At 33.9% G+C, this 15,955-nt stretch overlaps 1 protein-coding gene across 17 annotated transcripts in view; it reads right to left on the minus strand.

Moving 5' to 3' along the window:
• CDH18 (cadherin 18) overlaps window positions 1-15,955 on the minus strand; it is a 1,104,418-nt gene that overhangs the window by 495,905 nt on the left and 592,558 nt on the right. For 11 of the 17 annotated variants that reach the window (XM_017008924.3, NM_001291956.3, NM_001349558.2 and 8 more), the window contains one exon: window positions 13,860-13,978. The exons of 2 other annotated variants lie outside the window; for them this stretch is intronic. The gene's annotated coding sequence lies outside the window, so the exon portion shown is untranslated. The remainder of the gene's footprint in view (window positions 1-13,859; window positions 13,979-15,955) is intronic. 4 more of the 17 variants (NM_001349556.2, NM_001349561.2, NM_001349560.2 and 1 more) reach the window with 1 other exon arrangement.

Here is a 15,955-nt window from a genome sequence, read left to right on the forward strand (position 1 = left end):
TTGATTCAGAAATTTGCATCTAAAGGATACATTAATTACAAAAATGAAAAAAATAGAAACAGATTAGAGGAGAAATATTCAATATTATTTTAGACTTTTGACCTTAAAGAAATCATGGTGATTCCAATGTTATAATTAGAAAAATATAGAAGATTCATTCAACTGTTAAGAATAGAAATGATGATGAAACCTGTTTTACTGAGTGCCTTCTGTGTGCTTGACACTGTGTTCTGTTCTAGAATCATAAAATTTTCATTCTTTTGGTTTGTGTTGTACATATTGTACAGAGAGCAAATTATATAACTTGCCTGTGGTGATATAAACTTTAATGTTACTAAGCTTCAAAACAATTTGTGACTGATTCTCACATTCATACTTATATAAAATCATGTTGGTCTCAGAAAAATAGAAGATGGCATAGCACATATTTTCATTTACATCATAAGGAACACTGATACACTGATCACAAAAGAAGGTATCCTACGTATCTCAAAATAATAAGAGCTATCTATGACAAACCCACAGCCAATATCATACTGAATGGGCAAAAACTGGAAGCATTCCTTTTGAAAACTGGCACAAGACAGGGATGCCCTCTCTCACCACTCCTATTCAATATAGTGTTGGAAGTTCTGGCCAGGGCAATTAGGCAGGAGAAGGAAATAAAGGGTTTTCAATTAGGAAAAGAGGAAGTCAAATTGTCCCTGTCTGCAGATGACATGATTGTATATCTAGAAAACCCCATTGTCTCAGCCCAAAATCTCCTTAAGCTGATAAGCAACTTCAGCAAAGTCTCAGGATACAAAATCAATGTACAAAAATCACAAGCATTCTTATACACCAATAACAGACAAACAGAGAGCCAATTCATGAGTGAACTCCCATTCACAATTGCTTCAAAGAGAATAAAATACCTAGGAATCCAACTTACAAGGGACGTGAAGGACCTCTTCAAGGATAACTACAAACCACTGCTCAATGAAATAAAAGAGGACACAAACAAATGGAAAAACATTCCATGCTCATGGGTGGGAAGAATCAATATCGTGAAAATGGCCATACTGCCCAAGGTAATTTATAGATTCAATGCCATCCCCATCAAGCTACCAATGACTTTCTTCACAGAATTGAAAAAAAATTACTTTAAAGTTCATATGGAACCAAAAAAGAGCCTGCATCGCCCAGTCAATCCTAAGCCAAAAGAAAAAAGCTGGAGGCATCACGCTACCTGACTTCAAACTATACTACAAGGCTACAGTAACCAAAATAGCATGGTACTGGTACCAAAACAGAGATATAGATCAATGGAACAGAACAGAGCCCTCAGAAATAACGCCACATATCTACAACTATCAGATCTTTGACAAACCTGAGAAAAACAAGCAACAGGGAAAGGATTCCCTATTTAATAAATGGTGCTGGGAAAACTGGCTAGCCATATGTAGAAAGCTGAAACTGGATCCCTTCCTTACACCTTATATAAAAATTAATTCAAGATGGATTAAAGACTTAAACATTAGACCTAAAACCATCAAAACCCTAGAAGAAAACCTAGGCATTACCATTCAGGACATAGGCATGGGCAAGGACTTCATGTCTAAAACACCAAAAGCAATGGCAACAAAAGCCAGAATTGACAAATGGGATCTAATTAAACTAAAGAGCTTCTGCACAGCAAAAGAAACTACCATCAGAGTGAACAGGCAAACTACAAAATGGGAGAAAATTTTCACAACCTACTCATCTGACAAAGGGCTAGTATCCAGAATCTACAATGAACTCAAACAAATTTACAAGAAAAAAACAAACAACCCCATCAAAAAGTGGGCAAAGGACATGAACAGACACTTCTCAAAAGAAGACATTTATGCAGCCAAAATACACATGAAAAAATGCTCACCATCACTGGCCATCAGAGAAATGCAAATCAAAACCACAATGAGATACCATCTCACACCAGTTAGAATGGCGATCATTAAAAAATCAGGAAAGAACAGGTGCTGGAGAGGATGTGGAGAAATAGGAACACTTTTACACTGTTGGTGGGACTGTAAACGAGTTCAACCATTGTGGAAGTCAGTGTGGCGATTCCTCAGGGATCTAGAACTAGAAATACCATTTGACCCAGCCATCCCATTACTGGTTATATACCCAAAGGACTATAAATCATGCTGCTATAAAGACACATGCACATGTATGTTTATTGCGGCACTATTCCCAATAGCAAAGACTTGGAACCAACCCAAATGTCCAACAATGATAGACTGGATTAAGAAAATGTGGCACATATACACCATGGAATACTATGCAGCCATAAAAAATGATGAGTTCATGTCCTTTGTAGGGACATGGATGAAATTGGAAATCATCATTCTCAGTAAACTATCACAAGGACAAAAAACCAAACGCCGCATGTTCTCACTCATAGGTGGGAATTGAACAATGAGAACACATGGACACAGGAAGGGGAACATCACACTCTGGGGACTGTTGTGTGGTGGGGGGAGCGGGGAGGGATAGCATTAGGAGATATACCTAATGCTACATGAGGAGTTAATGGGTGCAGCACACCAGCATGGCACATGTATACATATGTAACTAACCTGCACATTGTGCACATGTACCCTAAAACTTAAAGTATAATAATAAAATAAAAAAAGAAGGTGTCCTAAAGAGTTTATAAATTAACACCTTATTATAGTAATATAAACATTTAAAAATCCAAGAATGTTTTACATCCAATAAGTTTAAGGAGTAGAACAGTATAAGACAGTGGAGAAGATCTGCTCATTGGTGGAAATAAAAGACCCGATTAGAGGTTAAAGGACAGAGCTAGATACATGGAGCACTAAAATTACATGAGTGATAACCATGAAAGTTGATGAGCTGAACAGGGGAGTGAGAAACAAATGGTCAGTAAAGAACCATTGAGAAACACCTACTGCTCCAGGGCAGCAAGAATAAAAAAGGCTCAGAATGAAATAGACAGAAAGAAGCAAATTCATCAATGAATAAATTATAATAAATTATAGTATTAATACATATTATATATAAATATCACAAGAATATAAACATGAATAATAAGTATTTTCCCTAAAAATTACTGATACTGCCATGGTACAGTCATCTTTATATTTATAATTTGTTAATAATAAATGTCATGCATTTCCATATTTAAAATTAAATTTAGCAATAAGAGAGGATATCCTTCTGTTCAATATATATTTAAGCATTTTACACTTTTGCAGGAATATTTTTCATTTAAGATCACAAGTGAAAAATCAAAATTTTAAAATATAGTTAGGTAAATTGGTATATTATATAGGAAACTCCCTAAATCATTATCTTAAGGTTTTGGAACTATTACTGTATTACGTTTTCTTTTAAAAGGCTATGTAGTGTTGTGGGTAAACCGAAGACAACTATAAAAAACCTAAATGAAGAAATATTTAAATGCTAAGTTCACGAGACTCATGGGAATACAGTTCATAAGATTTTTTGAAAATCCCTATCAGGAAAATAATTATTCATACATTTATTTATACCGTAAAATAATATTTAATCTTTGAGATTAAATATTATTCTACATATATTAAATATATATAAGTGTTTAAAATAATAAAGAAGATAGAAAAAAATAGAATTTTAGTGAAAACTAACTTGTTGACATATATAGGTAATACAGAAAACTTTTTAAAAACAGATAGTGAAGAATATCTCCATTGGAGACGGAGTGATGCTATTTTACAAGAAAACAAAATACATTATTAAAGTTTGTGCAGCAATCCCATATTTCTTCTCTAGCTGCTGGAGCATAAGTCTTTCTTATTTTTAGATTTTATTCTAAAAGAAATATATTTTTAACATGATGTCTTGAAAATAGCTCATTTTAAAGCAAATTAATCCATTTTAACCCTAATTAAAGCAAAGCATGCTTATTGATGAAATGCTAGTCTACCAGACAAAAATAAAGTAAAATTCTGAAAATATTCAGAATATATAATAGAGCTGGTATCCAGTTTGCTTGTTCTCAAGTAAATATCATAAAAATAACATTTTCCAGTATAAAATAACCATTAAAATAGAAGTACTCAAAAGTGACTTGCACCTTCAATTGTTCAAGAGCTAATGTATAGGGATGAATTCACATACATCACTTATAAACCTAATCAGCAAAAAAAGTTCAATGCCACAGAAAAGTTTTGTTAGAAGCAAAGTTTAAAATATATTACCAGAGCTTCACATATTAATTTAATGTATATATAAAAAGATAGTTTGTTTAAAAGAATGAAAGGCAACAGAAAGATCATTTGCGAAACTTGGTACATCAGTGGAGGTTATTGGTCATTAAAACATACTATGAAACATAAAACATACCATGAAACCTACTATATGAAAGCCAAATACTCCATGTTCTCACTTATAAATGGGAGCTAAATGATGAGAACATATGGACACATAGAGGAGAACAACACACACTGGGACCTTTCCGAAGGTGGAGGGTGGAAGGAGGAAGACAGGATCAAGAAAAACAATTAATGAGTACTATGCTTAATACCTGGGTGATGAAATAATTGGTACAACAAACCTCCATGACACAAGTTTACCTATGTAACAAACGTAACTTGTGCCTCTAAACTTAAACGTTAAAAAAAAAAAGAGAGAGAGAGAGAGAAAGAAATGTGAATCGAGGTGATCTGCCAAATAGTGCAATAATTTAGCTTCACCATCGGAGTCTCCATTATACCAGTAAGAACTACATATAAAGGGAAACCTAGTTTTAAAAAATACAAATGTGCTTTCTGAGGTCTAAACTACCATTCTTTGGTTGTCAATAACTGTATTTGTACTAAGTAAACAAAGATGATACAAAGAAAATGCGATATTCTTTTGGTGGTGGCATTATCTGCAAATGGCATTTCAAACCTGATTCATGCTTTAAATATGATGAACAAATTGAATGAGTTTGTTTATTTTTAGCACAGCCTTTGTTTTTCTCATTTATATATTATCCTCACAAGTTGCAAAGCAAAATTTGTTTCCTTAGCATCTTGAAATAAATATACTTAGTATATTGTATTTATACTGCATCTTACCATTCTACTTGCAAAACTATTAAAGTAAATCAAGAAAATGTTCACTAAATGTCAAAATTACTAAGTCTATAAATTCAGAAAGCTTTTCAATTTTCTACCATTGAAAGTCTGCATCCAAATGGTAAAAGTTGTTTTCAAACAGTTAGAAAAATGAAGGCGGTGCATTATCAATAAAGCGAAAGTGGCAAATTAAAACAATTGATGACTCCAGTTTAAGAGTATGAATGTTCACTGCATTATTCTTTCAAATTTTACTGTAGTTTTAAAGATTAAAAATATAGCAGGGGAATAATACAATGAGATACCACTACATACCTGCCAAAATGACTAAAATGAATAAGACAGACAATAACAAAAATATATCTCATAATGGTGTAGGAACATAAATTAGTAGAACCACTTTGGAATATGATTTGTCTTTATCTATTAAAGCTGAATATATACATAACTTATAACATAACAATTCTACTTACAATATACACTCAGGAAAAAGGCACACATATGTTCTCCAAAAGTCAAATACAAGACTGTTCACAGTTATATTATTTGTAATAGTTTTTAATAGAAATAGTAAATAGAATAGTAGTAAATAGTAAATACAACAGTAAATATACCGTAAATTATCCATTCTACTACTGAAGGGCTTTTGTGCCGTTTCTATTATTATCTGAAGTAATAGTCAATAATATTAATTAATAATATTACAGTTAATCGTTAATAAAAGAAATGGCACAAAAGCCTTTCAGTAGTAGAACAAATAACTTACGGTATATTTATAAAATGGAATAATCTACAGGAATGAAAATGCATAAACAACTGATTAATTCCACAAAATGGATGCTTTTAACAAAAGTAATGTTAAAAAGCCAATGGAAAAACACTGTGGAAATATTTTTCAATGGAAAAATACTGTATAATTTGGTTTATTTTAAATACACAGGCAAATGCCACATATAATGTTAGAAGTGAGGATAAAAAGGTTATATCTGGGGAAGAGAATAGGACTGTAAAAGTGCAAAAGGTAGGCTTCAGGAATGCAGGTAATATTCCATTTTGTAAGAGTGGTGGTTACCTGTGTATGGTATTCACTTGTGTCCTATTATCTATGTACGATGTACTTCAAATTTATTTTCTGAGATATAGTATGGGCTGTGCAGCAGGAAATCTCTTAAACCTTGGAAATCCAAAGGTAAGTGAATGCTCAATATCCTGGGTTAAGGAAGGTTTACTTTTTACTTGGAGGTGAGAAAAAAGGAAAGGAATAAGCTAATAAACAGTATTGAAGAACATGGAAAAAGTTGGCTAGTGTGATGGAGAACTACTTTAGGGAAAAGGGTTCTGTTTTTAATAGGATGAGAAGAGCATGAAGGACAAGAAGCTTACCATAAAAAATATGAGAGAAGGACATTTCAGACTAAAGGAACAAGCCAGTTCAACTGCTTAGCATATTTGAGGAGGGGAAAGTATAAAACTGTCACTTAATGAGCATAGATAGGGATCAAGTTGGACAGGAAGGCTAGATGAGAATATAAAAAGTTTTTGAGGTGATGGCAAGAATTTAGCCCCCTGTTTTTCATATTGGGATCCTTGGAAGAGTTTTGAAAGAGAGGAACAACATCTACTGATTTACACTTAGAGGGAGTATTTGCTGATTGTCATATGAATATATCAATGATTCGAGAAGGGTATTTGATGATGCAAGCCAAATGAAATAAATCATTATAGAAGAGATCATGGTGATTTGAACCAGTAGGGTGGTAGCAAAGATACACATAGTGAACATATTTTTAAAATATTTTAGGGTTAGAACATATAGGATCTGACAGTGGTAGGAGGTATAAGGGTGACAAAGGTGTAAAGGATCTTTCTCAGTTTTCAGACTGGTACAAATGGGATCATTTACTCAGATGTCAGAAACATGTTAAATCTGAGCAGAGTAAATAGGCGGTGTTGTCCCTGGATGTGTTTTAAAGATGGAAGTTTCCACCAATTTGGGAGGCCGAGGCGGGCAGATCACTTGAGTTCAGGAGTTCGAGACTAGCCTGGCCAATGTGGTGAAACCCCGTCTCTACTAAAATATAAAGATTAGCCAGGCATGGTCATGTGCACCTGTAATCCCAGCTACTTGGGAGGCTGAGGCAGAATCCAGGAGGCAGAGGTTGCAGTGAGCCGAGATCACACCATTGCACTCCAGCCTGGGCGACAGAATGAGATCCTGTCTCCCAAAAAAAAAAAAAAAAAAAAAAAGAGGGAAGTTTCCAGAGCACACTTATGGGAAGGACCATTAGAGAGTGATACTTTAATGATGTAACCAATTAAAGAGAGAAGTCAGGGAGGGTATGGGGACAGAATCCTGAGAAGGAGGTGCAGATATAGCAGGCATTGTCCTTCATTATAATTTGAATAGAGGCAAGAGATAGGAATATTGGTACTAGTTCATATAGATTGGTGGAAGTGAGCTTGTCACTGTCCCGTTGATTTAGCAAATTTATTTCTGAAATGTGATATGAGCCCATCAGCTGGGATCCAGGGTGCAGGGGGTGTGGGTGCTGGCCTGTGAAGAGGCATTATGGATGGAAGAGGAAAGCTGGGCATGCTCCATTCTGACCCGGCTACTTTTAAGTAAGTGTGTCCCGTAGGGCCATCTAGGAACTCTATGACTTAAATGTACTCTTCTACAAAATGAAGTTAACAATATCTACCTACACTCCTGTGCAGTAGGCCAAGAAGGAAATGTCATATAAAAAATGATTACTACATGTTGAGGTTCCAGAGAAAACTGGCAGTTAATCTGGTTGACTATGCATGCACAAGTAAATTATAAATGATACATTATATAAATATAACATTAACTAAATCAATAAGTTATATAAAATCTCAGTTCAAAGTATACATTTTACTTAAATAATTTCTATGATTTTTTCAGCATACCATGTCTCCACATCGTACTTAATAAAAATTATGTTAAATTTGTATATTTTTGTACAATGAAACTCATTTTGCCAAAATAATATACTTTTATGTGTCATAAAGCTGTAATTTTCTTAGGTAGTGATTTTTAAATAAAATTCAATATGTTGGGAAAAAATTGAGTAGTGCTAGATGAAAAATAAGTATGAAGAAAAGTAAATGATGAGGTTTGTAGGAGGATTGTGTACTACCAAAATATCTGAGTGAATGTATTTTCAATGAAAGGCAAGGTCTAGGTTGAGCATTTAGAGCAGAAACTTCAATAATAATTAAACACGATTTGATTTGAGGCAATTGTTATTTTAAATATTTTATGTCTCTCAGGAAATCAAATTTTTATAAATAATACTTTTTTGCTGTTGGTAATAAATTAGAGATATAAACACATATTAGCTAAGAACAAACTATTATTGTAGAGTTTATTGATTAGAACAATCTGGTTTTTCCATTTAGTTAATGTGTTACTTTTTCATTTTAAATGTTTGGCATTTCTTTTAGTAAAAGAATGGCTATCATTTCTAGGATGCTGACAAAGTGTCCTAGTTTACTTCTTTCTGAAAGCACAATTTTACACTTGGAAGAGTCAGCACATCCAGGATGCTAATACCAAATTTAAGTGTTAAAAATACCTTTTTGCATACACATTAAATCCTCTTTAGCACTGGACTGAAAATGGAGTGAGATGCTTTCTCAGAGAAACAGCTATTCCTAACGGTTACTTATTTCCAGAGTCACAGTCACACAAGAACTGCCTCTGAAGTTGGCGAGAGCACCTCATCTGAAACGGTGATTCATACTTAGCAAATTTCGACCCAGTGAAATTCATATTCTACTGATTCTTATTGTTTCATGCTTCTTTTCCCTTTTATTACCTGAGTGAGTGTTAAATGGCTCAAATTAAATAATTCTTAATTAAACTTCCATAAATTCTGTTTAAAAACTCTGAAGAAAAACTATTTTAAATTTTACTTTACATAATACATTAAAAAGATCTAGGAAAATAAAGGTCTTTAGATATCACAGACAATGCAAAAAGCTCACAGATTCTGGCAATCTACATAATTACAGAAAAAAGAGTTGAGGGGAAAAACACATTTTATCTACACACACACACAAACACGCACATACACACACATTTGTTGTTTCAGTACAGAGTGGACACAGTAGTAAACTAATGGTTATGACCTTTCAACAGTCTCAAAGAATCACCAATTGTAGATTGTCAACTGCAGTATTTCAGGGAAGAAATATGGACTTAGTCTTACTGAGGGGTTTCAGAAGATCAGATGGCTCTATTACTCAGGCATATTATTTAGTAGTATAAGGTAGATGGTCTCTGAAAAAAGAGGATTAATGAGGACTGGAGGGGATTGGGAGGATTAGAAAGATTGGTAGAATCCAGAGTGACAGAGGAAAGAAATAATATTGTTAGAAATATAATGATACAGAGTTGAAAATAGGAAAACAAAAGAATACCTACAAATTTCAAAGGATAAGACTAACTTATGGCAACATGACAGGATATAAAGACAGAAACAGGGATGAAAATGAGTTATGAGGCAAAAATAAAGACAAGAACGCATCAGATTGACATATTGTTTTGTAGAGATTTTAATGATCTAATATTAAGTAAGGATTAAGTAGAGTAGTATGGATTAAATAACACTTGATTTTTAAAAAGCTGAATAAAATTAATGTTTGCATGTTTAAATATATATGCTTTTCAGGTTTATGGAAAAAGGTGTAAGTGGATAAACAAATTATTAATTTGTGGATATATAGTTTGTAGATATTTCAACTCAGTGGGATTGAAGAAAGGGAAACAAAGTATAATTTGACTTGTTACAATAAACACCTGTCACTTAAGAAATTAAAGGAACAAAAAAATAATTCAGGAAAGTAAACATGTAAGAGAAAAATAAAATGGCACTTCCTTGTGTGTCAGAAATGAACACATTATTGGGAGTTGGTTCTGCTTCTGAGTACCCAGCCAGGGTCTTTGGAAGCAGATCAGATGCTGATGTAATCTCGGCAAACTGGTGCTTTCACAGGCTTTGCAGTTAGCTGAAGTTATTCCCCAAAGCTTTGGCTCATTTGCACGTTTTTTATTACCTAGAATTCAATTATTTGAATGAGGCACTCTGATAAAGAATACAGAAACTCAGATGGACAATTTGTGCCAGTATTTCCAACATCACCAATAAGCCAGATTAAAGAAGACTGGCATATGTCACTCCATTTGCATACTCCATCATGTCTAGGATTGTTTCACGTGCAGGCAGGCAAATCATACAACTGCTTTTAGAATCCTATGCTAAAGAGGGCTTTTATAACCAGGTATAAGCAAACAATATCCATGAGACATTTTAAAGAAAGAAATAAAATTGATATTAGCCAAATTTAATTAATTTGCCTTAATCCATTCTTTTATTTTTTTATACCCTTGAAATTTGACATTTTTCTATGAACATTTTCATAGGTGTTATGATTTAAACATGAGATAAGGCCATTCAAACTGGAAGGATAAATTTTTCCCTATTTAGCAGTTTTAAAAAGGTTGAGCAACATTCTAGTCTCTTAGTTAAAAATTAGTTTGATCAGTAAACACACAGATTTCTATATTCTCATTCTAAGCCAATCTTTGTTAATTATATGAGGTTACATTTTTTAATTGAGCTATAGAATATTCTACTATGATTGAATTCACTTTTTTTAATGACATTGTGCAAAAGTTAAGTAACTATTTCCTGCACTACAAAAGTAAAAAGCAGAGAGGGTAATATGTTTCTTTTGCAAATATTCCATATTTTACTTTGTTTATTGTTTGCGTGGATGAATAATTTACCTAAGACTGTACAAAATAATTCAATACTATTTTAATCATGTTTGGACACAGGAACTGGAAGTTCAATAAACTCACATAAACACTAATAATATATAATTACTAGAGATAAGAACGTATTCATTAGGGAGGATAAATTATTTTCTTTCATTAGGAGTAACATTTACCTTCTTTTTGAGGCAACTAGCATCCTTCAGGAAACTAACCTTTGGGTTTCATATGACTTTTTCATCAATTTAATTTTGAGCAATATAACAATTCCAGACTGATAGTATAATTATTACAGATTAAATAACATTCTATATGTTTCTCCTTGGAAAATTCACATGATGTGCTGTTTATATATATGCAGGAACTTCAGAAACTCAATATGCTAGTTTTATTAGTTTCCCATTGCCAGAAAGCACCACAAATTTAGTGCTTTAAAAAAACACTAAGTTATTATCTTGCAGCTCTGTTGGTAAGAAGTCTGACATAAGTCTCAACTGAGCTAAAATCAAAGTGTTAGCATGGCTGTATTCCGTTCTAGAGGTACTAGGGGAGAATCCATTTCCTTTGTCTTTTCCAGTTTCTGGATGCTGACCAAAGCACTTGGCCCTCTTCCTTCATACTCCAAAACCAGCAAAATCAGACTGAGTCCTTCTCACATGATCACTGTGTCCTCCTCTCTTCCTCCCTCTTTCACTTTTAAAGAGCCTTGGGATTACATTGGACGCACCAAGTTTATCCAGGATCATTTCCCTACTTTAGGCTCTCTAATAGACAACCTTAATTCCATCTGCAACCATAACCCTCCACTGCCATGTAATATAATCACAAGTTACAGCGATTAGTATGTGAACATCTTGGGGACCATTATGCTGCCTACCATGCTAGCATTCAAGGTAGTCACACGCAGCACTTATACATTAATATGTTTGAAGTATTGTTGTAACTTCACTCATAGAGTGAGTTTCAGAAGCTACTTCACTTAGTTTATCTTAGAATATAAATATTCTGAGTGAAGCTTGGTTGATAAAGAACTAGCTAATCAAGCTGATTATAGTCTCTTAAGTTTAATAAACAGTGTGATTATAAAGTCATAAGGTGATTGTTGGTGGGGATGGAGTGTGTGTGTGTGTGTGTGTGTGTGTGTGTGTTGAAGCAGAGTGTGTCTTGGGATAGTTGTATGAAGGAATACTTTAATTCGTATGAACAATGCTGAAATAATCTTGCAATATAGTAATCTTGTATATTTGCTAAAATATCAGTTTCACAACTTAATCACCTCAGACCTTCTGCTGAAACTGTAGATTTATATCTCGGTTCCTAATGATTTACCTTGCACTTAAAAGTCTGGGCATAAATCACTAGGAAATGGCAAGGTAAAAACATATGGTCTTTTAATTGATATATTGGCTGGGGAAACTTCATATTTTGTCTACTCTTCTTTTACTATAATCATTTGTAGCATAAATTGAGGTTGACAGGAAACAACATTTTAAAAGAATTAGTACTAAATGAGAGTTTATGCTGCTACCTAGTCAGGTCTGAAAAAGCAATAATTATAGCATCCAATTTAGGTAAACCTAATAAATGTAATAGAAGATAAAAATACGTTGACTAATAAAATACATAGATGATTAAATGAGTACTTTGTGGCAATAGCTGTTTTTATGGCATCAAGAATGTTCCATTTGTTTCTAATAGCAGATTCACATTGATGTAATAAAAGCCATCTATGACAAACCCACAGCTAACATAATACTGAATGGGGAAAAGTTGAAAGCATTCCCTCTGAGAACTGCAACAAGACAAGGATGCCCACTCTCACCACTCCACTTCAACATAGTACTGGAAGTCCTAGCTAGAGCAATCAGACAAGAGAAAGAAATAAAGCATCGAAATTGGTAAAGAAGAAGTCAAACTGTCACTGTTTGCTGATGATATGATTGTTTACCTAGAAAACCTTAAAGACTACTCCAGAAAGCTCCTAGAACTGATAATATAATTCAGAAAAGTTCCAGATACAAAATTAATGTACACAAATCAGTAGTTCTTCTATACACCAACAGCGACCAAGCAGAGAATCAAATCAAGAACTCAACCCCTTTTACAACAGCAAAAAACAAAACAAAACTTAGGAATATACTTAACCAAGGAGGTGAAAGACCTCTACAAGGAGAACTATAAAACACTGCTGAGAGAAATCATAGATGACACAAACAAATGGACTCACCTTGAATATAGAATGATTTACATAAATACATACATCAGAAAAAGTAAGCAACCATAAAAATTTTTAAGATGTTTTTTTAATTAAGGAAATACACTCTTTATACCTAAAATAAAAATTCCACTAAATATATATTGAATATGTGTTCATATGTATTTGTGAGTTTCCATTTCCATAATTTAAATGTATTTCAAGACAGTGTCTTCCTTGAAGTCCATCTTCCCAGGCTTCAAGACAGTCACTCACCGGAGCTTCCTCCTCTCACTACAGCTACTCCTTAGTTGCCAGTTTCTCCCCATCTTTTGAACCCACAGGTGTTTGCTGCTCCAATTCCAGGCCGTTATGTTTTTAACATTTTCTCTCATATTCAGTCTCTTCACTTTAAGTGCAATCTAATATTGCATACAAATTTGTATTTTATACCCGCACCACAAAGCTCTCCCTGCAACGCTACAGTTGCGTATTCCATTGACTGCATTTTATCCCCACTTGGACATCTCAATCAATATATGTGCAAAACTCAGGTCTTTACTTCTACTGCCTCTCTCCTTCTCCTGCCCAACTTGATTCTCCTCAATTATTTCGCTTCTTAGGGAATATCAGTTGCAGCCCTCTTATTGTTTAGGATACAAATATCACAATTTATCCTTTCACATCACTTTCCCCCATCAGACTTATATCTTAAGCAGTATCACATCCTGCCAACTTTATTTTCATGATAAATACAGAATCAAACCTTTTCTCTCAATCTCCACTGCTGTCACTCTGCTGCAGACACCATCATCTCTCCCCAGAATTCTTGGGATAGATCTGTAACTGGCTCCCTGTTTCTGTTCTTGCTCCTCTTCAGTCTATCTGCAACAGAGTGACAAGAGTTTCTTGTTGAAATATAGATCAGATAATGTCACCTCTCTGCTCAGAATGATCAAATACCATCCATACTCTTGTAGGAAAAATCCAAAGTTCTTAAACAGATCTACAGGATCTACACATGATCGGGTTTCTATTATTTCTTAACATTATCACCTCCTGTATGCTATTTGTTAGTCCATTTTCTGCTGCTATAACAAAACACCACAGAAAGAATAATTTATAAAGAGCAGGCATTTATTTCCTCACAGTTCAGTTATGAAGGCTAAGAAGTCCAGGATTGAGGCACTGGCATCTGGTGAGGGCTTTCTTGCTGGGTCTTCATGTTGTGGCAAGAGGAAGTGAACCCACTCCCAAAAGCTCTCTTAATAAGGGCTGTAATTCACATCCTTATGACCTAAGCATTTTTCAAAAGATGCCACTTCTCAAAATTGTTGCATTGGAGGTAAAGTTTCCAAGACATGAATTTTGAGGGACACATTCAGATCATAACACTCCATTTCAATTATTTCACTCAGCTCTGCTGTTCTTGTTATGTGTCAGATAGCCAGGGGTGCTCCTTCCCTAGGGCTTTTGCACTTGCTTTTCACTCTCCCTGGAATATGGTTCCTGAGACAGCAACATGGTTCATATCCACACTTCCTCCCAGGCTTCCTAGCCAAATAGATAAAATATCAAACCACCATCTATCTCTTGACAATTTTTTTCTGCATCCCTTTTTCATTTTTTCTCTTTAACAATTTTCTACAAATACTACAAAATACTAATTATGCCCTTGTTTACCAGCTTTCTTCCCAAACAGATGGCAACCTCCATGAATGAATGAATACAAAATTTTAATTTACTATATAACAGGAAAAATATAATTTAATATGCAATTGGATTTTATTTTTGCTTTAAAAAATTTCTACAGGTAGAATTTTAGTTATCAAAATAGGAACTTTACTGATTGGTCTTTGGGAACTGGTTTATTTTATAATCTTAATCATACAACGCTTTCCCATCTATTGCTAAGCTAAATAGAACAAATGACTCAAAAAGTGGGTTCTCCATAACAAGAAAAATTCACTACAACCAAAATAGATTTTCATGGACACTATCATGGCTCATTCAAATTATATCACATTAGTAAAAACTACTAATGAGACATTAAAAAATAAATACAATATAAACAACACAGAAAAATCTAGAAAACTCACATTTTTCTCTCAAAATTTTTCTGAAAATTTTTTAAAAATTATAGCATACATAAAATTTAGTATCAAGCTTAGTAAATTATATTTAATTGCCATACATTTATCATTCTTTGATTCAAATTATTAAATTAATTTTAACTTATTAAAGAGTTTCTTCATTTTTGTGATATTTTTAATTATTTCCTAATTTATTCCCACAAGTTGTATATAAGGGAAACTACACTTTCCTATCTCTCACAATGGGTTGCAAATTGCTTTTTAAAATCGATATATTGATTTTCACTTCCACCAGGCAGGAGTAAATACAAGTAAAAGTTTTATCATAACTGTGTCAACATTGGTTTCAGAAATTCTTTTAAATATTATAATTCGAGGCCAGGCACCATGGCTCACACCTGTAATCCCAGCACTTTGGGAGGCCAAGGCGTGTGGATCACGAGGTCAGGAGATTATGACCATCCTGGCTAACATGGTGAAACCCCATCTCTACTAATAATACAAAAAATTAGCCGGGCTTGGTGGCAGGCACCTATAGTCCCAGATACTTGGGAGGCTGAGGCAGGAGAATCGCTTGAACCTGGGAGGTGGAGCTTGCAGTGCGCCACTGTCGTCCAGCCTGGGCGACAGAGCAAGACTCCATCTCGAAAAAAAAAAAAAAAAAGCCAAAATTAAAGACATAATGGAGAAATATCTGTAACTCATATCAAAAATATATATATGTATAATTTGATGGATTGAAATGGCACCCTATCTCATTTATATCACA

Source organism: Homo sapiens, chromosome 5 (genome assembly GCF_000001405.40).
Source record: "Homo sapiens chromosome 5, GRCh38.p14 Primary Assembly".
Lineage (NCBI taxonomy): Eukaryota > Metazoa > Chordata > Mammalia > Primates > Hominidae > Homo > Homo sapiens.